At 41.5% G+C, this 25822-nt stretch overlaps 1 protein-coding gene across 14 annotated transcripts in view, besides 2 other annotated features; it reads right to left on the bottom strand.

Moving 5' to 3' along the window:
- Positions 1 to 25822, bottom strand: part of GRIA1 (glutamate ionotropic receptor AMPA type subunit 1) — a 324255-nt gene that overhangs the window by 21147 nt on the left and 277286 nt on the right. For all 14 annotated transcript variants that reach the window (NR_157093.2, NR_047578.2, XM_047417128.1 and 11 more), the window contains one exon: positions 22308 to 22555. Coding sequence is in view for 12 of the 14 variants with exons in the window: in XM_047417128.1 (XP_047273084.1) it covers positions 22308 to 22555 (248 nt within the window). In the remaining 2 variants the exon portion in view is untranslated. The remainder of the gene's footprint in view (positions 1 to 22307; positions 22556 to 25822) is intronic.
- Positions 886 to 1475: an enhancer, noted in NCBI's record as "NANOG hESC enhancer chr5:153170808-153171397 (GRCh37/hg19 assembly coordinates)". NCBI's record gives its function as "activates a minimal SCP1, AML or CMV promoter by ChIP-STARR-seq in primed H9 embryonic stem cells {active_cell/tissue: H9 hESC(primed)}" and the evidence as "EXISTENCE:reporter gene assay evidence [ECO:0000049][PMID:30033119]".
- Positions 9568 to 10116: an enhancer, noted in NCBI's record as "NANOG-H3K27ac hESC enhancer chr5:153162167-153162715 (GRCh37/hg19 assembly coordinates)". NCBI's record gives its function as "activates a minimal SCP1, AML or CMV promoter by ChIP-STARR-seq in primed H9 embryonic stem cells {active_cell/tissue: H9 hESC(primed)}" and the evidence as "EXISTENCE:reporter gene assay evidence [ECO:0000049][PMID:30033119]".

The following is a 25822-nucleotide window of genomic DNA, read 5'->3' as shown; positions in this document are numbered from 1 at the left end:
AGAAAGACAGACAGAAAGAAAGAAAGGAAGAAGGGAAGAAAGCAAGCCAAAATGGTCTTTGTGCCTGAATAACACACAAAGGGTATTTTTCCTGAGAGAGGCTCAATGCTAGGGTAAGTAGATAGCCACTGCCTATGTTTTGTTACCTTTCCTTCTCTTGTCTCCTCTACTTCTCTGTTTTAAGGGAATGTATGTAGAAAGACTCAAAGTGGGAGAGGAAGTGGTATCAGTGCAGGGACAAAAGGGAACTGGGCACAGCAAGGGAAGCTATAGGGATCAACTAAAAGAGAGAACAAAGGTTGGGGTTCCCAAGGTTCTAATTCTCATTTTTGCTGTGAACTATAAGACCACTTTTCTGTATTAGAAATAAAGTCCTCACTGTTCCACTCAGGCAAATAATCCTGTTTGGGGTCAATAGTGTGAAGAAGTGTTTAGAGAAAGTAGACGGTCCTCACAGAGCATCTCCCACAATGGGTGAGGTACGAGGAATTTATATCCTACATTGATGGGCTCATGATCTCACAATCAGGTCCAACAAGGGACTGTCTAAAAAGGCATTTAATTAAATTTCACCTCAAAATGTTCCCCTTTCTGGAAGATTCTCTGGACTTGACTTTATCTCTTATGCTACAGTGCTGTTCTAGCTCATTGGTATGTTGGCTGGGTCTCCTCAAACAGATGATTAGTTCCCTGGAGCTATGTTCTCTGTGATTTTAGATCCTTCTCCAAAACATGTAGTATGGGATAGTCCATGCAGTGTGGGAGTACAACATTTATTACAGCATGCTCAATGCTGTGTAGTTTTTTTTTTTTTTCCAAATGAACAAATGAATGGCCAAAATCTAAATGCAATATCACCTACGTATCTATAACCTATGTGTCTCAGCTATTTGGTAAACTCACCTATCTAGAACAGAACAGAAAAGGACCAGAAAGTGAGCAAAGAAAATGCACAGGGATATAAGGTGATCGTTGTAGTTAATATTTATTTCACTGAGGGCCTATTGTGGGCCAGGCATTGTATTAAGCACTTTACGTGCTTTATTTCATTTAATCCTTATATCCCTGTTTGGTTATCATTTTTACTACTTCTATTTTACAGATAAATACTTAACTTGCCCCAGGCTGTCACTCAGCTCTGTGTGACTAAAGCCCATGCATATAACCATTGTGCTTCACGCTGAGTGCAGGTGGGGTACTGTGTGATCCTTGCCTGGGCTCACTTAGACCTTCCCCACCCCCCACTACTCAGTCCTTTTTAAACTTTTACTTTGCACACAGTTGTAATACCCAAGAATCTCCATTTTCTAAGCCCAAGCAGAATAAAGTCAGCAAATAAGAAAAGCCTCATCTTATGCCATTTCATAAGATGCTAATTCACAACTTCACAACAAGGAAGGAGCCAAAGCAGGTTTTTTCTTTTCTTTTCTATTAATTTTTTTTTTTTTTTGGTAGATATGAGGTCTCACTATGTTGCCCAGGATGGTCTCTAACTCCTGGCCTCAAGCAATCCTCCTGCCTCGGCCTCCCAAAGTGCTAGGATACAGGCATAAGCCACCTTTCCTGGTCTTCTTCTTCTTTTTTTTTAAGGAGACAGAAACGAATTGCTAAAAGAATGGTGGCCCGGGGGCGATTCTGGTTCTGGAAAACTGCCCTATGATATTTGCCCTCCAGCAGATTCACTGTATTCTAATCCAATGCCATTGATTATTGATCATGATAGAGTTATCCAGAAAAGGTTGTATTTCACATGTTCAAAACAAAAGTTAAAGATGTGAATGTGATTAAAAAATATTTCCTTTATAAAATATAAAGGCTCCAAGGCCAGGAACCTTGGAAAATCTGGGGGTCTTGGATAGCAGAAGCTATCCCTTAGCCTAGCAGTAGTTTCTAGATATCTAGTTTTCACGGATGAGAAAAAAATAAAGTGGGTGTGGGAGGACCAACATAGGTGTGTGTTAAATGTTAACTTCACTAAGTAGAAACGTTTAAAGAGAACAACTACCATCTGCTGGCAACTTCCTTTTATAGAAGTAAAGATGTTCAAATAATCAAAGAAATAGGAAGGACAACAATAAAGAATGAAAGGAAGTCTTTAGGTTGAATGAATTTAGACACATTGCTGTTATTTTCCTCATTTTACCTCACGCTGGTGAGAACTTTGTCTTGGGCAAGCAGTGACTGGTCCACAGACTGGTGTTTGGAAGGTGCTGTTCTAGAAAAATCAATGTCTTTCAGTTGGCTAGATTTGGGGTTCAGTTTTGCATTTTCATCATGCCTACCTAGGAACAACTCACTAAGGTCAATGTGGAATGTTTTGTTCTCTTCCCCAAGGTTTTTAATAAAAGGAGAGTTATGAAAAATAAGAGTTTTAGTGACTTATTAAGAATGCTTGAATACGCAAATAAGAGATTGGTCATTTTTTGTCTCGAAAAAATTAAAACAGAATGGGATGAACCTCAAAGACTAAAATGTCTTCAGAGAATACGTGGGTATTCCAGGCAAGTGAGTGTTCCTTTTGTTATAAACTTCTTCCAAATGCATTAGCCTCCTACCTGCCTCCTGTGGCTTCAGATTTTCCACTTGCCATCAGGGACCATCTCTGGGGTTAGCCTTGCTCTGAATAAGAATCCCTGGTACTGGGAAATTCTCACTGCAACTAACTACAACTAGCCCTAGGCTAATCTATGTCAGCCATCTGAGCTTCAGTGTCTCCATCTGTCAAATGGGATAATAGAATTTCCAACTCAGAATTATCAAATGGACTATCAATGAGCTGTTTCATGAAATGACTTAGCTACTACTATTGTTGATAAATAACAACAACAACAACAACAACAATATTATTATGATTACCATCGAGCTGACCATCTGAATTAAGTCAGGAGACCTGAGTTTAAATCTTAGCCCCAGCACTTATGGTGTGCCATTAGGTAAATCAGTAAACTTCTCTAAGCCTCAGATTCCTATGTGTAAAAGAAATTATAACATATGCTGGGCCCATAATAGAAGCTCAGCAAATACTCGTTAGCTCTAACTTACCTAGGATCAGAGGTGTGGAAAAGCAAAAGATGGCACAACATATGGATTAAGCTCTAGATTTTACCTGGAAATGATTTTACAGACTAACAAAAAAGATTCCTGAGATTACTTTATTTTCTTTCTCCTAAAAGTGGAAGTCAGTTGCCCACTGCAGTTAATTAGATATTCTTCATAGATTAGTGTTAATTAAGTTTGGCCTTACATATTTTAAAGAAATGTCTAGATAAAATGACTTGGAAATTGTTTTAGTTTCACGAGCTCAGGATGCTGTTGATAATTATATATATACAAATTATCATATATATACACAACATATATATTTATTTATATCATATATGTAGGAGATATATATATATATATATGTAATATCAAAAGAGGTATTAGAATCATACAAAGGAAGGTGATGGTCTTCCATTATGAACTTGTTCCATCTCCTTTGGAGTCTGGCACTCATTATTAGACAACAATTTTAAGAAACAATAACAAACTGGAGTGTGTCAAGAGATCAATTACCAGAATGATGTGGATACCTCTGGAGCCATCATGTGTGTGGAATAACATTGAAGCAGGTGTGATTTAGGGCAAATATAAGAATTGTCTTCAAATATCTGAAGGATTAATTTAGAGAATTTAGAGAAAATTATACTATGGGTTCCTAAGGAGGAGAACTATGACCAATAGGCAAAAGTCATGGAGGACATTTGAGTCAATATGGAAAAGAAATGACAATAGAGCCAAAGGAAATGGAATTGGCTGTCTTAAGAGGAAACCCTTGGAGAGGAGGCATTCAGAAGGAGACTAGATGGTTATTTGTTATGATTTTATAGAAGGGACATCTACATTGAGTGGGAAACCATAATACTTTGCCATAAACCCTCTTTAATAACCATGAATATAGCTGAACAGCTACTATGTGCTAGCACCACGAGAGGTCCTAGGTATGTACTAATGCATAAGACAAACATGGTTCATGCCCTAGTAAGGCTTACAGTCTAATTGGAGAAACAAGCAATAAGAGAATATGTGAAGTGTTATAAAGGAAACAAAAGGTGAAATGACAGAAAATGTCAGAGGTGGTCAGGAAACATGGGTCTGAGGAAGTGACATTTAAGCGGAGACTAGAGAGAGAAGAGGGTTGGGTGATAAGAGATCACATTCTTATGGGGAGATGAGGTTGGAGAGGCTGGCAGGGACTCTGCAGGCCAGGATTGAGCATTTTATTCTGAGATTGGAGGGTCTTAGCCAGGGAATGACAGACCCTTTTAAACCAAGTTAATAAGTTCTCCCAATGCAGGGAGGAGAAGGGACTAAAGGGAGGCAAGTGGGGAAACATGGAAGCCAATGAGAAGGCTAGTGGAGGAGCCCAGGTAAGAGTGAATTAAGGATTGGAAAGAAGAGAGGCTGTACGTTCAGGATACATTTTGAGTAAGGGAGATAGATTGGTTATGGGGGATTGAAGGAAAGATTCGAGCTGATTTTTCCCTTGAGATTGTGTAGACTGAGGGACCATTTGTGGAGATGAGAGAGACTAAAAAGAGATGGATTTGGGAGAAGCCCAAGAGTTCAGCTTTGGATGCACTAATTTTTTTTTTTTTCTTTTTGAGAAGGAGTCTTGCTCTGTCGCCCAGGCTGGAGTGCAGTGGCATGATCTCAGCTCACTGCAAGCTACGCCTCCTGGGTTCATGCCATTTTCCTGCCTCAGCCTCCCGAGTAGCTGGGACTACAGGCGCCTGCCACCACGCCTGGCTAATTTTTTGTATTTTTAGTAGAGACGGGGTTTCACTGTGTTAGCCAGGATGGTCTTGATCTCCTGATCTCGTGATCTGCCCACCTCAGCCTCCCAAAGTGGATGCATTAAATTTAAGATGCCTGTTAGATGTCCAAGTGGAGAGTCAGTTTTGTGGGAAGAGGCGAATCTGGAAGTCAAAGGAGATGGTCAAGTTGAAGACATAAACTTGAGTTTATAAATTGACTAATAAAACAGACCTGCGAGGACCATCAGCCAAAATTTTGTAAAGCATTCATATACGGATGGCTATAATAATTACTTACTTGAATAAACAACCTCTAGTGGAACTTTTCTTATGCTAAATCCTGTGCTTGGCACTGAGCAAAGTAAACAAACATAAAGCAAACAATCAAACAAAAAAAGAATCAGGCATGATTCTAATTTGGCAAAGTTAGAGTCATCTGAAAATTCCAAGATTCAGAGAGATGTTCAGCATAAGGGAGATGATGGTTGTGGGTCATCAGGGGATGAAACCAAGGCTGTAGTCACTGACATGGTGACATACATGGCATTTAGTCCCCAAGAGGGCCAAAGAACAAAAAGAATCCTCTAATGCCTGAGCCCTGATATTCAGCCACTGGAACTGGGAGGTCCAGGGGAGCATTCTAAATATTGAATTAGTTTTGGAACTCTTGGGGAGGAAAGACTTGGTACTCTAAAGACAATTTCTAGGATGAACTTGTGCACATTAAGGTCCAATATATCCAGCCTTGTGCTCTAAAGAAACTCAATTATCATATACTTGCAGGGAAATTAAAGTTTGAAAAAAGCAGCCAAGGGAGATATTTCAGATGGTTTTAATTTTGTCTCAACTTATGAAAGGCAAAGGACAGAATGTTGGGCTTCAATTCTGTAGCAATTGTCTACACTTCCACTTTTGCCTTCGAAACCTTGAGTTTCAGCGTCTGAGGAGTGTTGGATGAAATGACCTTTGGAATTCTGCCCAGCCTATGATAATATGCTTTGCTTGTCCTCCTACAGAGGGAATTTCTGATTTAATCAGACCAGGCTGCTGGGCATCCTACTTTCTCAACCAGTGTGCCTCTGCCTGCTCCTGTGTGCTTGCTTCTTGCTGTTCTCCTTAACTTCTCTTTTAAGACCTGGTTGCTCTGCAATGCTCCCCATGTTTTCCTTGAATCTGCCCTTGAGCACTTTATTTCTCATTGACCTTTCCTTTAAACTTGCCTGGCATCTAGCAGGCAGTTCACTGCATTGTCTACTACTATTTGATGTGTATTGGTCTTAGTCTTCAACTTGATTATAAAGCCTTCAGAGTAAAGAGTTAGTGTCTTTGGGTCAACACTTCAAACATTTATGAAGATCAATCAAGTGTTAAGCATTGTAGGTACTTACTAGGAATAACAACTTGAACAAATTGTAAACCTCTTCCTTTAAGGACCATGCAATCTAGTATGTGAGGCAGAAATATTTCTCAATAGTTCATGAAAGACTGTATCAGATTTTAAAATAAAGGGTTATGGAAGCACCAAAAGAGGAGAGAGGTGAATTCTGACAGTGGGTGGAAGTTAGAAAACCTTTAGGGAGTGTTCTGTGAAAAGGGCAAAGTCCCCACCCGAGGAGTGTAGTCATGATGAGGGGACCTTCGGGGAGATGAGGTTAGAACAGCTGACAGAGTCCTAATCATGAACTTCCTTGAGTGCTATGCTAGAACATCAACACTTTACCCATGGGCAAGGGAGATACAGGAGGTTTTTAAGCAGAGAGAGGCCTCAGACCAGAAGCTCATCTACACTCAGCAGAGTGAATGATACAGTCAGTTCTAAGCAAATGTATATCAATTAACTGAAAAATATAACGGCTTATATGAGAGGAAGAGACAAGGTTGAAAATTTTAACCCTGGATCCAGGGATCATGGAGATAGTGGGCCACTTCAAAGCAAGCAGGACTCACATGGAAACTTGAGGTTGGTTGTCAGTGGAAGAGGAATTAGCGTTATTCTCTGAGATGCCAGAGGGCAGAATTAGATCAGGGAGACAAAGCCACAGGGACACAGATTGCTGCTTAGTATGACGGCAAACCTGGAATTATTAGCACCCTCTGATAATTGCTACTTGAAAAGTATGATTTGTTGGGATGTTGTTCATGGGACAACTGTTTGTCAGGAATAACATGGAGGAAATTCACGAGCTAGATAAAAAGCTGGGATTAAATCAGTGGTTCCCAAACGGCTCATCCAATGAGCTGGAACTGGTTTGTGATAGTTTTCACTCATCAATGGGAAAAGAAGGAAAGATAAGCGTTGTGTAGTGAGTTTTCAGGACATGGAACTTTTCCATTTAAAGGACAGACCTTTGTTTGTAATTGTTTCCTTCATTAATTTTTAGTGTTAACATATTCCTTCTGTTATTAAATGGTATTAATAAGAGACGGTAATTTTTTTTGTTTCCTTTGTCTTTTCCTGGCAATATAAAATATTGTCAAGTGTCCACACTTTACCATTTTATTTTTTTGTAATTTTACTGATACATGATATCTGCAGTTTGGGAACCACTAGGATTCTAGGGGAAGGGCCTTCGAGGAACTCTCCATCTACCCTTAAGAGGGGAGAGCAGGTATTGATGAGTAAAGTTTAAACACATTTATGGGGGCTATTTAGGGTGAGAATTTGCTTGCACTGGATTAAGGGTCAGTGCACAAGTGAGCATGGTCCTTCTAACTCTTCCTTCCATGGGGCTTGAGGGTTCAGGGGTGCACAGTTCTCCCTCTGTGAAGAAGATCCAGTTCACCTTTTCCTCCTTTCTCTTTTTACACTTCTCCCTGAACTAAGCAATATTCCACAGTCCCTCACACATAGGCCTGTGGAGGATAAAAAACCATTTCGAGGGGATGACAGAGAAACCTTCTCTGGGTGGATTTTTTCTGCCTCTTTTCCAAGGCTAAGCCGGGGTTCTTTTGCTGGGAGTGGGGACCAGAGCCTCCGTAGGAACCAAGGCTCATTTACCCTGCCACTGCCGAGGAAAAGCATGGCTGAATTTAGGCAGGACTAGTACTGGTGGGCCTGGGTCCTAGATGCACTCCTTAATGGCTTCCTTTGGACAATGGTCTCAAAGTCCTCTGTCTTTAGTTCAGTCTATGACATCACTGGCTGTGTGGACCATTTAAGGTAAACTGACTGGGCAGACAACTCAGACCCCATAGGACTCCGCTGACTCAGGAGGTTGGGGTGATGAGTGAACTGGGAGAGGCTATCCAGTGACCAAGCAAAAGAAAATAGTTAGTGGGGTTATATCAGGAGCCTCAATTAAAATGCAGACATCCCCGGGTTCCTTAAGGAATACAGGTAGGATCAAATTTCCCTTCACACCTGACCATTCCAGATGGTGTTCCCCTCTTGAGTATACTCAAGGAACAGAGAGTTCTGCGATCTTATGAGAAGAAATGCTGGTCAGGCAGTGAGTCAGCAGAAGACAGAGGCTTTGTCTTTGGTTTCTGACTGTACAAATGACACAAATTAATTTTTTTTTAAAGCAAATGATATATACAGAGTGCTCACTTAATCACTCCATGCTGGGTGGAGGAAAGAGTCTGAAGGCGTGATTTGAGTACCTCATTCATCTCTGATCAAATTATGTGACATGTCATGTAACTACAGCTAGGGTAACCAGCTGTCCCAGTTTTCCTGGGACAGTCTTGGTTTTTGCACCCAAAGTTCCACATCCTGGAAACCCCCTCAATCCTGAGCAAACCAGGGTGGTTGATGACCCTAACTGTACCTCAGTTTTCCCATTTGTAAAATGGGAATAATTGCATGCTCCTGCCCCAGCTGCCTGTAGAGTTGGGAGTAAATGAGGTGACAGATGGGAAAGTGCTTTGAGAGTAATTCTGGACAAATTCAGGTAGCTGGATTGGACTAGGTAGCATAACTAAAGCTCACCTCTGCATTGGCACATGTACTACCTAGGACACTTCACCACTTTGTGGAACCCTAGTCATCTTACACGCTTCTGATGTGTGTTGTTCTCTGCAAATACTCCTGCAGTGACCCAAGGCAGAATGGACTGAGCCTTCTGGTCCCACTGTACTTGCATGTTTTATCACAGCAAACTCACCATTCCCTTATCCATCTCCACTCATCTAATCTGAGCTCTATTGGCAGGAACCCTGCACACTGCACAATAGCTAACACAGTAGCTGCTTCATAAATGTTTGTTGAATGAAGGAGTACTTTTTAATTTCTGAGATAAACCATAGGGGTTTCTTGAACCCCTCAAAACTGCACAGCAGTTTAAAATGTGCAAATATTTATTTCTGGCCCTGTAAATTTCTTCAGGGTTCTGTGAAGAAACCTGGTTAAGATCAGTGGATACAGCCCAGAGACCTGGATAGGGATCTGAAGTCTGGCTCCTCCAACAGGAATTCTAGAGACAGCAAGCATTTCTAAGGCAAGTGTGATGCCTAGCCCACCCCACATTGTGAGAAGCAGGTGTCAACAGTTCATTTGCAGCTCACAGTAAACCACATCTGGTCCTGTAATGCAGAAGCATTTGTCAGCAGCAGCAGGCACACAGGTCTGTGTCAGATACCTTGGAGATGCTTGACAAAAGATAACAGAGGGAATGAATGAAGGTCCCCCCGCAATTAATGGAGGGAGTGGAAACACTATTCAGTACAAGAGCCAGCTCACTGGTCTCATCTCAGCCACCCCTGGTTCAATGAAAGGAAGAAAAGCTGGGCCAATTCTAAGGACTGCGTGAACAGGATGCAGGGGAGGCCAGCAGGTCCGTTATTTTCTTGTGGACTTTTAAATACACAGGGTCACAATGCTGGAGAATTCTCCCCTTCAGTGACAGAGAATGGCTCCTGAGGAAGAGAAGAAAACTCTGCTCCTGCAGGTCTCCCACCTCCAGCCTGACCCTGCTGGCCCTCTCTCTTCTTCCTCTCCCTTTCCACTACCACCTCCAGCCCCTTATCTCTTGCAGCTCCACTGTATCTCTCATTTATAATGGGATTCCATGAGAGGTTTTGTTTGGGGAAGTGATTCCCTGCTGAAAACAGCAACAACAAAGATTGAAAAAGAATGCATGAATCACCCTTCCCTTCACTCCTGTATGGTATGCTTGCGGTGGCTTTTCCTGAAATACCTTCCTCCCCGTCTTCCGCCTGGCTGTTCTCTCTACTGGTTAAGGAACTGTTCAGGGAATGCTGCCTCCTCCTGGAGGCCTTTCTAGAGCTTTCACCCTGGGGATGGGCAAGATATTAATTCTTAACTGCATGTTTTCCTCACTTTGCCTTATTTATTTATCTATTTATTTTTATGGTACTTCCAGTCTCCTTTGTATTAGCGTTAGTTGTTAGTGGGTTGTGCCTTCTCTTTATCCTTCTCTCTTAAATGTGATCACTACTAAAAAAGTTGTATAGTTTATATAAAAATTGAGATTTCTAGTTTCTTTTGAAAAATGAGAATATGTGACAACATTCCTACATGTCAACATTAGACTGGAATGAGTGGAGACTGTCCCGTCTAGATAAGACACATAGCCCTGTTCACTAGTCTTCATCATTTCCTGTGATCCTCAGTGTCAGCTTTCATTTATAGCATTGTGTGATTGATAAGAGCATAGACTCTGAACTTGGACTATCTGGGTTCAAATTCTGGCTCTGCCACTTACTCGCTGTGTGAACTTTGACAAGTTAATTAGTCTCTCTGTGCCACTGATTCATTATCTGTAAAATGAGATTATTAATAGTACCTACTTCATTGGGTTCTTGTGAGGATTACATAAATTAGGAAATGCATATGAGAATTTAGAGATTGCTTGCTATAGATAGCAAGTCTTCAATAAATATTAACTATAATTATTATTTACCATAGTGTTTGCACTGTGGATTTGTTTCTTAGAGAAATATTGTCTGTACTCATGACTCTATTAAAAATGAGAAAACCACATAGGTTTTACCCCTGGCCCATTTTACTCGTCTTCTTTACCTGGCCCTGGGGTGTTTGAGGTTGCGGTCCCTGCTCTAGATGATGAATCTTGGAAGTGCTAATGTCATAGTTTATTCATCCTTGTTTCCCTTAAGAGTACTGACTTGGCATTTTGAAAATACTATACTTGGAATGTTGGTAGAAATAAATTGCATGACCATGGTCATGTACTTGCATTTGTTGCCTTTAGGATGTTTATTAGTAATGGCCAAAGAGACCTACAAGTTGTCAGTTGGTTTAATTTGTGTTATGTGGTCTATATAGTAGGACTAGTATTTCCTGATTCTCCATGAATCAGACAGACCAGGCACAGCAACTGATTTGATTATGTGCTCAGAAAGTCATCATGTACATCGAAGTTGGCTGGGTAGGAACTGGTCTATGTGATAAGCAATCAGCAGGGGTTTCCTGCATGCTAAATTCTCTGCTAGATTCTCTGGGAGAGTTGGCCTTTGCTTCGTTGACCTGGAAATATGGGTGGAGGGCAGAAGGAAGCAATACAAGTGAAGATACAGGAGTGGGGGAAAGTTGTGTTTGTGGGCCACAGGGAGACTGGCTTGACTAATGCAACTATTTTTTTTTTTTTATTCCTCTAAAGGAATACATTTTATTCCCATGGGAATAAAGAATATGATTAAGAGTTCATTGTGCTCTTTGTTTACTAGACGTTTGTTCTGAGGAAGGATGAATAATATATGCAAATTTCCCTGCCTGATTTTCTTTGTTTGGGGACTCTGCTGGTTTACTGTGTGAGAGGAAGTTGGTTCCTTTGGTTAGGATTCACCTGGGCTTTTGCCCCTTTCACTCTGAGGAACAGGCTGATTAGATATGATTGTTAAGCCATGATCTTAGCCTGTGGGACCATTCACAAAATGTTACAGGGACAGATGGCTGGGAATTTCTCAGCATGGGTTCAGCTCAGGGCTACCCCTTATTCCTTCCTTTCTGCCTGCCCTCCGAGACTGGGCTTCTCAGACACTGGAAATTTCTACCTTCAGGCATATAGAGGAATGCAGTGTGGCTGTTAGCTGAACATTTGGTATTCTGAAATTTCTGCCATATTGCAATGTTAACAATCGTAGTGTGGTGTAGCCCAGAGAAGGTAATTGCCACTAATTTGGGTCAGATACTCACACAAACAGAAGAGATGGTGAGTGTGGAGGGCCGAAAGGGAAGGAGAACAGGGAAAAAAATGGATTCATATTCAAGAACTCCTCATACACCATGAACTCTTCATAAGGGATTCATTGTATTCACAAGACAATCTTATGAATCTCATAGGAAGATCTCGATTGGAAGATGAGAAAATTAAGCTTCAAAGACATTAAATAAGGATAATTAACACTTGTCAGTCATTTTACTATGTGCCAGGCACTGTGCTAAACACTTTGTATTATCTCATCTAATCACACTTGACAACTATGGAAATAAATGCCAGAGTTACCTCCAGTTTTTTACATTTGGTGAAAACTAAGTCTTAAGGAGATGAAGTCACTTGTCCAAGAAACAGTTGTTATTAACTAGCAGACCTGGGATTCATACCAGTCTTGACTTCAGGGTGATACTGCAGCTTGCTACTTTCTCAAGATCACATGGGTCGTAAATGCGGGAGGCAGAATTTGAATTCAGGTCTCAGGAACACCAAAACACATTTGCTTTCCAAACCCATAAGCCCCAAGTGGCAGAGCTGAGACAGATATCCAATCCGTCTCTTTCCTGGTCTTCCTTTGTATTACAGCAGCTGCCTTCCTAGAAAACGCAAAAGACCTAGCAAGTCTGAAATTAAGTTGCTGATGGGAGGGAGAGAGAGGAAAAAAAGAGATGCTATTTTTGACCAAGACAGCCTCTTAAAAGAAAGCAACATGCAATTTGTGTATCAGCAGGAGGAGCAGTGCTTCAGTGGGCAAATCACAGCCTGCACTGAGCTGCTGTTCTCACCTAGGTAAAGGCCATTCATTTCCCTTATTTATCTTCCCAGATACATCCCTGCCACCTCGCTTTCACCACCTTCCTCCTCTCTCTCTTTAATGTGTTGCTTTGCCATTTATGAGCTTCTCAACCAGGCATTATAAAATGGAGCTCTAGGATGGGCATGGTGGCTCATGCCTGTAATCCCAGCACTTTGGGAGGCCGAGGCGGATGGATCATGAAGTCAGGAGTTTGAGACCAGCCTGGCTAACATGGTGAAATCCCGTCTTTACTAAAAATGCAAAATTAGCTTGGTGTGGTAGTGCACGGCTGTAATCCCAGCTACTCGGGAGGCTGAGGCAGGAGAATCACGTGAACCTCCAGGAGGCGGAGGTTGCAGTGAGCTGAGATTGCGCCATTGCACTCTAGCCTGGGCAAAAAGAGTGAAACTCCATCTCAAAAATAAATAAATAAATAAAAAATGGGCTCTAACCAGAGTTACTGCCCATTTGTCTTTGTGATTTCACCAGAATCCTCCAAAACAAATAAGCAGCGTGGATCTGCAGCCTAGCCTAGTGCTTCAAGACAGAGTGCTTGGTTTGTGGAGGCCATCTGACATCTCATGTCCCCTGATGTTTTCCCTGGACGTTTTGAGGATGCCACCTTTTAAGGCAGTGATGCGAGTCTTGATTAGCACAAAGGTGGGCTGTGGAAAGAATGAGGATTTCAGAGTCAGGGTTTGTACCTAAGCACTGTTCCACAAATCACTTTGAGAACCTGGGTAAAGCATTACCCTCTGAATCTTAGTTTTTTAAACTATGAAAGGGAAATGATAATATCTAAATCAAAAGATGAGGGAAGGATTAATGTATGACCATCACAGGGCACTGAATGCATTGCCCAGCACATCATTGGTATAAAACGAATGTAAGGCTCCCCTACCCCACCCTCTAAACTTATGGCACAGTTGGTTTAAAATGACCTGTTTTACATTGCTGAAAGAAACAAAAAACATATAGAATTTTCAGGAGCATAAAAATCTTTAGGGATGTTTTTGGTTCAATCTGTTATGGACAAGCAGGGGAACCTTAATATGCATCAGATGCACAGTTTTGCATTTTTATGTAGTTATAGGGTAAGACATCCACCTGTGATATGGCTCTGATCCTGGAGAGGTTCCTTATTCCCCACAAGTACAAATGGTGCAGTCAAGCAAGCATTCCCTAGGGAATTCAAATAGAGCAGAAAGAAAGCTTTCTGCTGTTTTCTTATTTGTATATTGTATAACCTGTTTTCTTATTTGTATATTGGTTGGGCAGGACCAATGCTATTTGTGTGTGTGCGTGTATGTGTGTGTGTGTGTGTGTGTGTGTGTGTGTGTGTGGTGGGGGGTGATGATTAAATAATCTTTATTATCTGAATAATCATCCCTTCCTCATAATTTCCCTCCTTACATCTTTGAGAGGGCATTCTTGCCTAATGGGTGAGAAGAGGTCTGGAATCAGGTTGAATTATGTGATGAAGGTGAAAACAATATTACCTCCACGGTGTTGTTAGGATTAAATAGGATAATGCACATCACTTCTTAGGAGTGCCTGAGATGAGTCAGTGTTCAATAATATTAACAACAAGTCTTATCACCACCCCTAAAATGCTAAATAAAGCGCTTGCCACTCCTTTGTCTGGACTTTTGCACCGGACTAGCGCACCAGTCTCTTAGGAAGCTTTCTTGGTACTCTCTGAAATGCATCCCACATGTCTTGACCTGAGAAAGCTTCTCTCCTTTGCAAACCTCCAGTCTCTATTGAAACACACACACACACACACACACACACACACACACTCTCTCTCTCTCTCTCTGTCTCTCTGCCTCCCTCCTTCCTTTGTCTCTCCCTCCCAACCTCCCTCACTCCCAACCTCCCTCCCATTTTTTTCTATCTCTCCTTTTATCCCCCCATTTCCTCCTTCTCTTCCTTTCTCTCCAGCTCTTCTGAGGATGCAAATAAATCCAGCCTCTCCACTCAGAGGGCTTTGTCTCTGATCAGGCCCGACCTGGGTCACAGAGTTCATAGGGTTACCATGACAACAAGCATCCCTGGCTACCCATCAGGAGGCAAGGACTAATTGAAAGGGACTGTCATTTCCCTGGGACATACTGTATTTATCAGCAGCAGCAGGCTCTGCACCAGTACTATACTATGGGAAGACAGGCTGTTACTTGTGAGAGTGGGAGGGAGGGAGAAAAAGAAATATTAGGGCTTTATTTTTTAGCATGTTCTCTGTGGGGGAGGACCACAAATTGTTCTCAGAGATATTTTATTTCTAATGCAGCCAGTGTGTGTGAGGGGGATGAGGGTGGGGCTCATATGCATTTCTGATGAACACAGTTGGTTTTACAAAAAAGAAAAAAATAAGTTCTTTGGCTCAAAAGTGACTTTTTAGTAGGTCTAATGGGAGGAGGAGAGGGGTAGAAAATGAACACTAATAAGTATCCTCTGTAATGGGCACTTCATGCTATTTCATCAGATCATCAAAGCAGCTGCACAAAATTATTATTCCAATTTTTCAGATAAGAAGACAGACGTTTATGAAGTTCTAGTGACTTACCCAGTGAGGTCAAACTCTGGCAAGGTAACGGGCCTTATACTTGAGTGGAGGTGATCTGACTCCAGGAATTCGGGTTGTGAACCATTCCATGAGGATTCCTGGTCATCTCCCATCATATTCATCCCCCTATTCCTTCAGGGCCTCCTCCTCATGTTCTGCCTCCTCAGACCACTAGCACATCGCCTCCCTGACCTCTTCTAGCCCTTGTTCCCAGAGTGGACTGCTGTTTACTTAGAACAGAGGCACCTGGGGGACTTGTTCAAATTGCACATTCCTGGATCTGCAAAATCAGAAGTCTCAAGGATTAGAGTCTAGGAAAGGGCATTTTAAACCAGCTCCCTAGGTAATTTTGATACACACCGAAGTTGGGAAGGGCTCTTTAGAGCAATCGACTTAATGCCACACAAAAAAGCACTTGCTTATTTGTTTCCCAATTATTTTCTGGGTCAATGTGATTCTCTAAAAGAAGAGAACTCTCTATGGCCTTCTGTAGCACTCAGGTTAGCATTAGGCAAAAAAAGGATTCCAGGGAAGGCCTACTGGACTTCATGGAAGATACAAGCATGTTTTATCGTCCCAGTATGGGGGATGAGCAACTAGGAGGAAACCCTCAGTCCCTGAAAGTGACAGCCTTCCCTACAAAACCTTGGTGATACCTCTTCCCGACTCATAGCCTTAACCACCCTCCTTTTCTTTAGCCAGATGCCAATATACACAAGCAACTTTTGCTAGATATTTTCCAGCACAGGGTTGTGTGAAGAGAGAAAAAAATATACTCAATGGGAATGCCAGTGAGGCTAAAATGGTGATGAACAATTCTGAGCTCATGTGATATGAAAAAATTGATAAAGGCCAGATATAGTCAATGCAGCAGGGAGTAAGTAAAGGTGATCGACGGCCTTCATCATTCTTGCTGGTGTGCCGGAAAGCTTGTGTCCTTTCCAGGGATGCCTTTCTTAACCAGGTAGGCATTTCAGAGGTAAAATTGAGGTGGCAGCAATTATTCTGTTTGGGAGGTAAATCCCGTATTTTTCCATTTTCTGTCCTTGCCAAAATCAGTTTGTACCCAGTCAAGCCTTAGGCAGGGGCACAAAAGCCCCAGAAAGCTTACGTAACAGACTTCTTTTCCAAACCTCCCAGCTTTAAAGTGAAGGATATGACTAGTGACGAACATAGAGCCCACCACTTCTCCCAAGTGTCTGCATCCCGTTGTAACTCATGACCACATTCATTATCTCCTACCAAGATGACCACAACAGGTTTCTAAATGACTTCCTTCCCTGTGATCCTCCTCTCTCTGATGCGTATCGCAAACCACCGCCAGGGTAATCTCCAGGAGCCTGTCCAATCATGTCCCTCCCTGTAAATGACTTTCAGTGGCTCCTACTGACATAGTAAAACATGCAGAGACATTTGAGATTCTTCACAATATGACCGCAGCCAATCACTCCTACCTATTAATGAATTCTCTGGTTAAAGTGGACCCCTTGTTGTTCCTGAAAACAAGCCCCATGTTTTTTTTTTTCCGTTTCTGCATTTGCTCTCTTTTCCTCTTCAGCCCCTAATATGAAGCCTCCTCTCCCCACTTCCCATCTATCACAATTCTTCCACAATTCTTCCACCATTGCAAATCCTACCACGCAAACGTTGACTCTCCTCCTTTTTTTTTTTTTTTGAGTGTTTCTGGCTCTCTTATGGCATTGGTAGGATAATAGGTATCTACATAATTCTGCTCATGAGCTGTATTTGATGATGCATTATTTAAGCACTGGGATTGCATCTCTCACTGCCATTCCCTGCAGCATTATGCACAGTGCTTTGTGTGAGAAGGTATTTGGAAACCAATCGGTGAAGCTAAATGGAAAGCACAGAGAGTGGGTCTCAGACCTTCCTGGGTGCCCATTACCCGGTAAGCTGCAGGGTGAAGCTGTACTGCACTCCTGCCCCCTTGGCCCATACATCTGGCATAAACAAGACACATGACAGAAGACAAACATGTCATGATCACAGAGACCAAAGAAGACTCCATGTAACCACAGTCACAGCTAAAGACCAGACTTTGACCAATGTCCTGATTAGGGTCTAACTCTTAGCAAATCCGTTAAACTCCTGGTAGGTAGTTTGTGAAAGAGAATCATCAGGTGACATTTTAACTGAGGCCAATCTGGTGTGGATTCTTTCTTAGGTTGATAAAACGTGGGCTAAGCCCCCTCACTTAGGAAATTTGAACACATCAAAGGAAGTATTCATCATAATAAAGAAAAGACATTTCAGTTTAGGCTAGCAAGATACATTAAGTTGGCACCAAAAGGGCCAATAGATCATAATTAGTGGATTTACCAATTGCCTTTCCCTAGTGAGTGACGTTGGCTGCATAGGTCTTTATCTACAACCTGAGGGCTTGTGAAACATAACAGCCCCTCTCCCACCCCCAAACATGCAGTGACAGCCAACAAACAGCATCTGTTTCAAAGAAACACCACCTGTCCAAATGGAAAATCAAGGATTGAACCACCTTGCTTCATCAGAGTATTTGTTTCCAGAGCAGAAGAAACAAACAAATAAACAAAAGCCCCATTCTGTCACTAACACAGCTTTTTAACACTCTATGGGGACCATGGCCTGGCTTCTGCCAAGTAGACTTGGCAAGTTTTGGAGGAACATTTGGGCCTTAGATGTCAGTTATCTGATCTTCTGAAGCATAACTGGGTGATCTGTCTTGGAGAAATCTGGAGCTTGTTCTAGGCAGGCTGTAAGAGAGTGAATGCCCCACAGGCACAGTGAAGTCTGGCTTTATGGAGAGCAAGTAGTGGAGGAGGACAGCCAGAAAGGTCCTCTCTTGATACAACTACAGGCAGTAAGCCTGGAGGACATCTGCCTGTGAAAGCTGCAAAAACCCTACCTTTGATAGGGCTGAAGAGAAGTTTATAATAATACCTGGAACAAACTCAAGCACTTTTTTTGTAGTGTAAACACTTCCAAAGAGTTTGCAGCCTTGTGAGTAGTTAAACAGTCCTTTAAAAAAGTATTTTTTATGATTCAAAATAATTTGAACAAAATTGGACTTCTTCTGCCAGGTTATCTTTAAGCATATATCAGCCCCTCTTCAATGGGTCCAAAGGAAGCACAAATGTCTTTACTCTTCTCCTTACTGTCCACCTCTGTCATGCAGAATGGTTTCCTGGGATCAAGTCAGTGGATCTAGGATTGCTGGAACAGGCACATGTGTTTGTGGTATTTGGTTTGCCATAACTCTTTGGAGTTTGACCATGTCTTGGGTCAAATGGCATCATATGGGGTGTGAAAAAGAGTTATAATGGAAACTTGGCTGGAGTGTGTGTGTGTGTGTGGGGGGAGGGGGGGTTGGGGTGTAGGAGAGGCGTGGTTACTCATATTTTCTGCAACCATTCTTTAATGGTGTGTTTTGTGGAACCTCTATATTATTGGTTGCTAGCAGTGTTCCCTTTTAATGCACAGATGAGAAGCAGAATCCCATTAAGGGTAGAGGAACTTTCCTAGGCCAGACACCTGAGGCCCTTTTAAGACGAGCGTTACTCTTTTGTTTTTGAATCAGGAATTATGATGGCCCCATGACTACCATCAGGTTTGCACTGGAGAGAAAGGAGCGCTGTAGGAAGACAGGAGCATATGACCATCATTTGGGTGTTCTTGACTTGCAGTTCAGTCGTCAGTGATCTGTATTTGAAACATGTTGCTTTTTCATTTCTCTCTCCTTTTCTTTTGCTCTCTTTTTTGAAATCAATAAATGGCTTGTTATGTGTTTACAGAGATGTATGCAAAAGAATTAGTTTTTTATTATGAAGCAGAATTATTTTCATTGTTTGTTCTAGAAAGTGTCTTTCAGCAAGCAAATCCATAAAAGCAGGGTTACTCCTCAAAGGAATGGTGCTGGGTGTGTTAAAGTCAGTGTCCATTATCACCTTTTGCCTTCAGAGTGGTGAGTGGTTGCTCTGGACTTCAAAGGTCTGGTTTTAATTCCCAAGTTGGTGGTTATTTGGCTCATGTGAATAGGTGCAAAGGACCTGGCCCAAGTCCAGTCCCCTGCCTTTAATGGTGCTGTCATTCATAAAGCCCAGTGCAGCATTAGAGTGAGTTACAGCCATAGGCTCTGAAGTCAGACTGCCAGGGCTTGAAATCTGGCTTCTACCTTATTAGCTGTGTCAACCTGATCAGGCAACTTAACTCTTACTCTGTTTCCTCATCTGTAAAATGGAAATAATGGTACTTCATAGTCATGTTGCAAGGGTTATAAGAGATAATGCATGTACCACGGTGAGTGGCACTTAATAGGCACTGACTCAATGATGGTTTTTATTATAGTGGAAAGTCATTTGAGTGCCAAATGGCCTGAGTTTTAGGTTCATGTCACTCCAGTATTTCCAGTATCAGGAAATATACAGTATTTCCTGAGTTGTTACCTTGTTCCAGGAAACTATGTGTGGGATGGGATGACAGAGGTACTCTATTGATTGGACAAATTATGTTATGTGTCTGTGCTTTGTTTTCTTAACTTCACATCCATGTATTTATGTGGATGTCCTTGACTCACGAAACCTTCAGTAAATTGTAATATTGAGGTATCACTGATGTTCCTGGAACTATAAAAACTCACTCTCTACTTTGAGTCTTTCTAGGCTGATGATCAATAAGTTTCTGAGATAAAAGCCTCTTCGTTGCCAAACACTATCATCTGAATCCCCTTTGAACTTTGCTCAAACTTGTAAAGAGTCTTTTAGATTCAACCAGGCAAAAACACATGACTGATAAATACCAGGCCATTTGATTTGTCTTCATTAGTTCATATTCAATTATGTCTACACTTCTCCAGGTATCTTTATTCTCTCAATTTTCCGATAATTACTTAAAGTTCTTCAAAGTATTTTCATTCCTCTTTGAATAAAGACAAAAGTTCTTTATAAAATTCTTCCCCACCTCATCCTCCAATCTCAGCTTAAACATTTCTCCTCTGTATTATTACCTGTGTTCCAAGAACACTTAGTGGCTTTTGGTTAATCGACTGTGCAATGATTTCTTGCCTTAGAATCTTTGCACATGCTATTTATTCTGCCTCAACTACTCTTTTCTTCCCTTCTCCTCACTTCACTTAGTTAACTCCTATTAATCTGTCAAACTGCAGCTTGAAAAAAACATCTTTGGACCTGTCTTCCCAGCCATACCCCACTCATCCTGCAGACCAAATTGAACCTTTTTATATCTGGGTGCTTTGAGATCTTCTCTTTGTCTTTATTGTTCTGCTTTCAATTGAATCAGCTGCTGATTTTTATCTATTTATTATGCTTAAGACTGATTTTCAAATCTGAGGATTTATGCTTTCCATAAATTCCAGAAAATTTCTTTAAAATATTGCCTCCACTTCATTCTCTCTTGTCTCTGTCTGGAACTCACAGCAGACTCAATTTTTTTCTTTTTCATGTCTCTTAAACTCTGTGTTACATTTTCTTTTCATCTTTCTGTGTGTTACTCTGGGGAATGTCCTTTGATTCCCCCCTCCCCCACCTCTGATGTTTTTGATTACCTTATGTTTTTAGTTGTACTGTTAATTGTTGCTCATGTAGATTGTCACATAATTTATAACTTTGCCTTGCTTAGCGTAGTCCCAGAATAATAAGCTTACGCTTTTAGTTCTAGTTTTGATTTGTTTTTTCTTTTTGATCCTAGGAATTTCTTAACTTGCACTTAAAAGGCTATTTGTTATATCTTATCCAGCATATCTCGTTGTTTCATAGTGAGAATTTTGTTCTGCTACATTGCAGGAAGTAGATGTTCTCTAGGTCCCCTTTTATAGACTGTCCTAGTATCTATTAGAATTGTCATTAAATGTTAATTATTTCTTTAATGTCTGTCTCTCCTGCAAGAATGTAGTGGCATGAGGACAGGGACTATGTCTATCTTGTTCAAAATTGTAGCTCCAGCTACTAGCCCAGTCCCCAGAACAATGTTGGGGCTTAGTATTATTAAGATAAATGAATAAAGTGGAGGCAGAGGTAGACCCAGATGTCATATCCAGATGGGTTAGGAATCCCTCTCCATCATTTTGCAAACTTTATTAATCCTTCTTACCCTTCCTGAAATGCAACTCTTCCCCCAAATGATTTAATCCTTCTGTAATTGACATAATGTCTCATAGGTGACTTCACAGTGTACTGTTTTCAGTGACCTTCAACATAAATTATACCATTTGAACTCACAACCACTTCAGACCTAGGAAGGGCTGGGCCAATTATCCTCCCTCTACAGATGAGGAAACTAAGGGCTGGAAGATGATATGTTTTACCTTTTGTAAGACAGTCAGAATTAAATCTAGGTATTGTGACTCCATGTCTACAGGACTCTTCCTCAGCTGTTGAGAATGAATATCAGGATTTCTTTTCGTGAAAGTAAAGTCCACTCTGCTTCTTTACCAAACTGTCTATATCTTGCTAAATAAATCAGTCTCTAGGTAAGAATAGGTGCTATAATTAATTTGGTGCTATTCATTAGATGCTATTTCGATTTCCACAGCCAGAGTCTCAGGACTCGAAAGATTTGATTTTTCATTTGGACAACATGTTTATGTTTCTTTTGAGACAAACATTATAAACCACCTTCTGTCAAAGAATTCAGGTTGCTGGAGAACTCTGTTCATAGCGTTGTTGGATGCAGGGGTGTCTGGTAAAGGATGGGGTGTTACAGATCACACGACAAAAGCACAAGGTTCATTGATGTTTCACGCACTTGGAGGAGGAAGGTGAGGCATGGGGAAGAACACATGGGCAGTGACAGTCACAGCAAGCTGAGGCCCCCAGGTCAGTTTCCAACCTCAGGGCTGAAGATCTTGGGTGGCTGGAATCTTTCAGGCCCATAGGTGTTGAAGAAGAGCCCCCTCAACAGCTTGCATTGTGGCATTGGAGGCTTGTAGCAGACACAGAAGCTTCATTCCTGAGATAGGGAGGGGAGAGGGAGTACCAAGGAAGCAAATCTTGGCTACTTACCTCAGGGCAGACCCCTTGGGTGTTGCAATGCCATAGCCTTTGGAATCCAAGTTACCTCCCACCTTCATGGTGTCACAGGGTTTCCGCTGCTCAATGTACTCATTCATGGTGGACTCCAGGAGGTAGGCATATTTGCCTTTGGATTTCCTCACTCGAATCATCCCCTCCTCTGTGGTCCGCACAAAAACTGATGGCTCTGCTGACTTCATGTATGTCCACATCTTCTCAAACACAGCAATTTTAGACCTCTGGTAGGGACAGAAACAAAGCTGGAATTAAGTGCGCTTGGAATTGGGGTCGGTGCACACATTAATGAAGAGCTGAGTGTAGCTTGATCACACATTCATGAGCGAGATTAGCTCAGGAAGAAACAAATTATGAGTGATTGCAAAATAAGAGGCTCTAATTAGTACCAGTAGGTTCCAAAGTACAAATATCTTGCAAATTCAGAATGAACAGAATAGCTCAGATCTTTTAATTACTTCTGAGTAATTATATTCCTCCTAAACAAGGGGAGAATTAAGAAACTGGGGCCCTGCCTGACTTTTAAATACATTAAAGGACCTATCTATTGTTCAATAAGGCCATATTTATACTAACCAGAAGAAATAGAAAGCTGAATATCAGTGGAATCTGATTTCATTATTGGAAGAAAGCACTGAAGAATTTCTGGATCATGGGTAGACCTGTCCTCAGAATGTATTAGGTTGATGCAAAAGTAATTGAGGTTTTTTGCCATTACTTTTGATGGCAAAAAACCTCAATTACTTTTGCACCAATCAAATATATTGTTGTCTAATAAAGCTGATAACTTGGGACCAAATATTGTCATCTGCTTACATTTAAAAACCTTCCAAATATGGCCCACCTGCCTTCCGTATTTCCCCCTAAACTCACCTTGGGCCTTCTCCCCTTCAGGACTTTGCTTGCACTGTTTTTTCCACTTGAGATGCTGGTTCTGTCTAACCAAATCCTTGTTTCATAGAACAGAATAAATCCTATGTATTTGGAGTCCACCTCAGTTCCAAAGGCAATGGTTTTTAGACTCTAGTAGGCACCATTATCATGTACATCGATTGTAAAAATGCATATTCCCTAGCTCTAAATCTAGAGATTCTGATTCAGCAATTCTGAGGTGGGACCTAGAATACATCTTTTTTAGGAATTGTCCCCAAGAGATGATTCTGATCTGTATGGCCTGTATGGTCCTCACTTTGAGAAACAGTATTGTGAGGGCTGATACTCTTATGGGACACACTGCCTGGGGCACTCACTGGATGGCCAGGCTAGACTGCAAAGATTGCAAGTCATCTCTCCTTGTATGTAGGTCTCAAGTATGTGGAAGCTACCTGAGGGAATGTCTTCCCTCCTGTGGGTCCGTCACAGGGTCTAACTGAGTACCTTGCACATGGTAGGCCCTTAGTCAGGGCCCATGATCCAGGACCATGATCAAACTTCTCATCTAGCATACTGTTTCTAAACGGTGACCTTTTCCCAAAGGGTAGATGTATTTTAGGGATACTACAGTCTGGCTATTACAAATGTTTTCTAAATGGACAAGTGTTAAATACATGTAACGGACTACTTTTTAAAAATAGTTGTTGCTAGAGTCATATATTCTATATAATTCAGTTGTTAATATATAGATTTCAGATTTATTTAATATAAAATTATCATTATACATGCAGCATATCACTTTTTTCTGTATACAAGTATCAGGTTTATTTCCTTGATATTAGCGCACGTCAACTGTTGGTAAGATATTGATCTACAATTGTCATTTGAGTCAGCTGATCAATAAAGACATTCGGGGCCCAGGAAAATCATAGATCTTGAGGGAAAAGTAATGGAAATAGTTGCTATTAAAACTTCAGTTTTAATAGCCTATAATTAGATAAACTATATCACTCGTTTTACAGTCCGGTTTACAATCTAGAAAGGACACTGGACTGGCTGTGAGGAGCCCTGGATATCAGTCTTAGTTCTACTTCTCACTCATGGGTTTGTTTATGGAGAGTCCCTTCTCTTTGGGCCTTAGTTTCCCCATCCATTCCATAGGGAGTTTGGGCATTATAATCTTTAAGTCCCTGGCTAGCTGGAAGTATCTGATTCTTTACCTGAAGATACGTCATTCAAGCAACAATGTCAATGTGAGAAAGAAGAAGAAAGAAGGGAGAAAAGGGAGGGAGGATTCCAAGGTTAGGGGAGGAAATACCCAGAACTAATCATAAGGTCTGCCAATGTATTTAATATTCTCTCACAGGAAACAGGAAAATGTATAAATTCAGCTGTGACCAGATTTGCAGATAATCTTCCAGGCACAAATCAACAAAACACACAGCAGGGCAATTGCAAGATGCAATTTGACCTGACAGTATGGACACAGCAGGGAACTGGGCTGTTGACAGGCAGAGCTGAGGAGCCTTCTGGGCAACAGTATGCAGAAAATTAATATGTCCTCTCAGCCTCACCCCAGTGCCCCAAATGTTAAGGCTGTGCACACAGACACTTGGGATGAACTATCAGGAAAATCTAATCTCCAGGAATGTGAAGGTAGCATGAGTGGCAGGGAAGATTGGAAGCATACTCAGGGTATTTGTTCTTGGATCTCTCCTATCATCCGCAGCTCCCATGACTCTTCATACATCTTAATTAAACTGTCGATGGAGGATTAAGCATCTCTGGGCTGGGGCTGCCAAGAAGTTCTGGGCTGTCATGGGGACAAGAAGCCAGCTTTTTCAGAGACTGGAGTAGAAGAATTCTTGTCTCACTATTCCCTCCTTTTGCCTTGTGGGGGTGGTAGGTAACCTTATCTCCCCACCCACCAAACTCCTGGTGGGATAATTATCCAAGGTCAGAGTCACAGAGATGGAAAGGCTTATGCATGGGACATATCTTGGCAGTACTCTCCTTTTACAGGTAAAGAAACTGAGGCCCATGATGTGGCAATAAACTGTCAAATGTCATGCAGTTTGTTAGTGGCAGAGCCAAGAGTCCCTGACCTCCTGATTGCACACATTGTGCCTTTCCACTGCAACCAGCTGCCTCCCTCATTTTAGGCTTTATATCTTATTAGCTGAAAGACGTTGGGCAAGTAGCATAACCTTTCTGAGCTTCAGTGTTCCTCTTCTGAAAATAGTAATAATACTGTGCACTTCACAGTGTTGCCGTGGAGATTATATGAGAACACAGGCATAACCCAGTGCCTGGCACAAGAAGGCATTCTGTAAGTAGTGCAATGACTACTAATAATTATGCCTTTTTTTTCAGGTTTTACTTTAGGGTAGGAATGCCTCATACCTGGCTTTCTTGGTACCAGTTTCCCTTCCTGTATACATGAGAGACACTGATATCAATCAAAGAATCCTTTCACATCAAGCCCAGATGTGACCTCAGAATCTCTAGGCAACCACTACTGACCTGTCAAAGTAAGTACATGGACTACAACCAATTTGTCACCAATGTAGTAGGCCTGGGCACAGAACTTGTAGAATATGCACTGCCCTGGTTCCAGG

This window comes from Homo sapiens, chromosome 5, assembly GCF_000001405.40.
Source record: "Homo sapiens chromosome 5, GRCh38.p14 Primary Assembly".
Classification (NCBI taxonomy): domain Eukaryota; kingdom Metazoa; phylum Chordata; class Mammalia; order Primates; family Hominidae; genus Homo; species Homo sapiens.
This window is presented reverse-complemented; position numbering and strand designations above follow the sequence as displayed.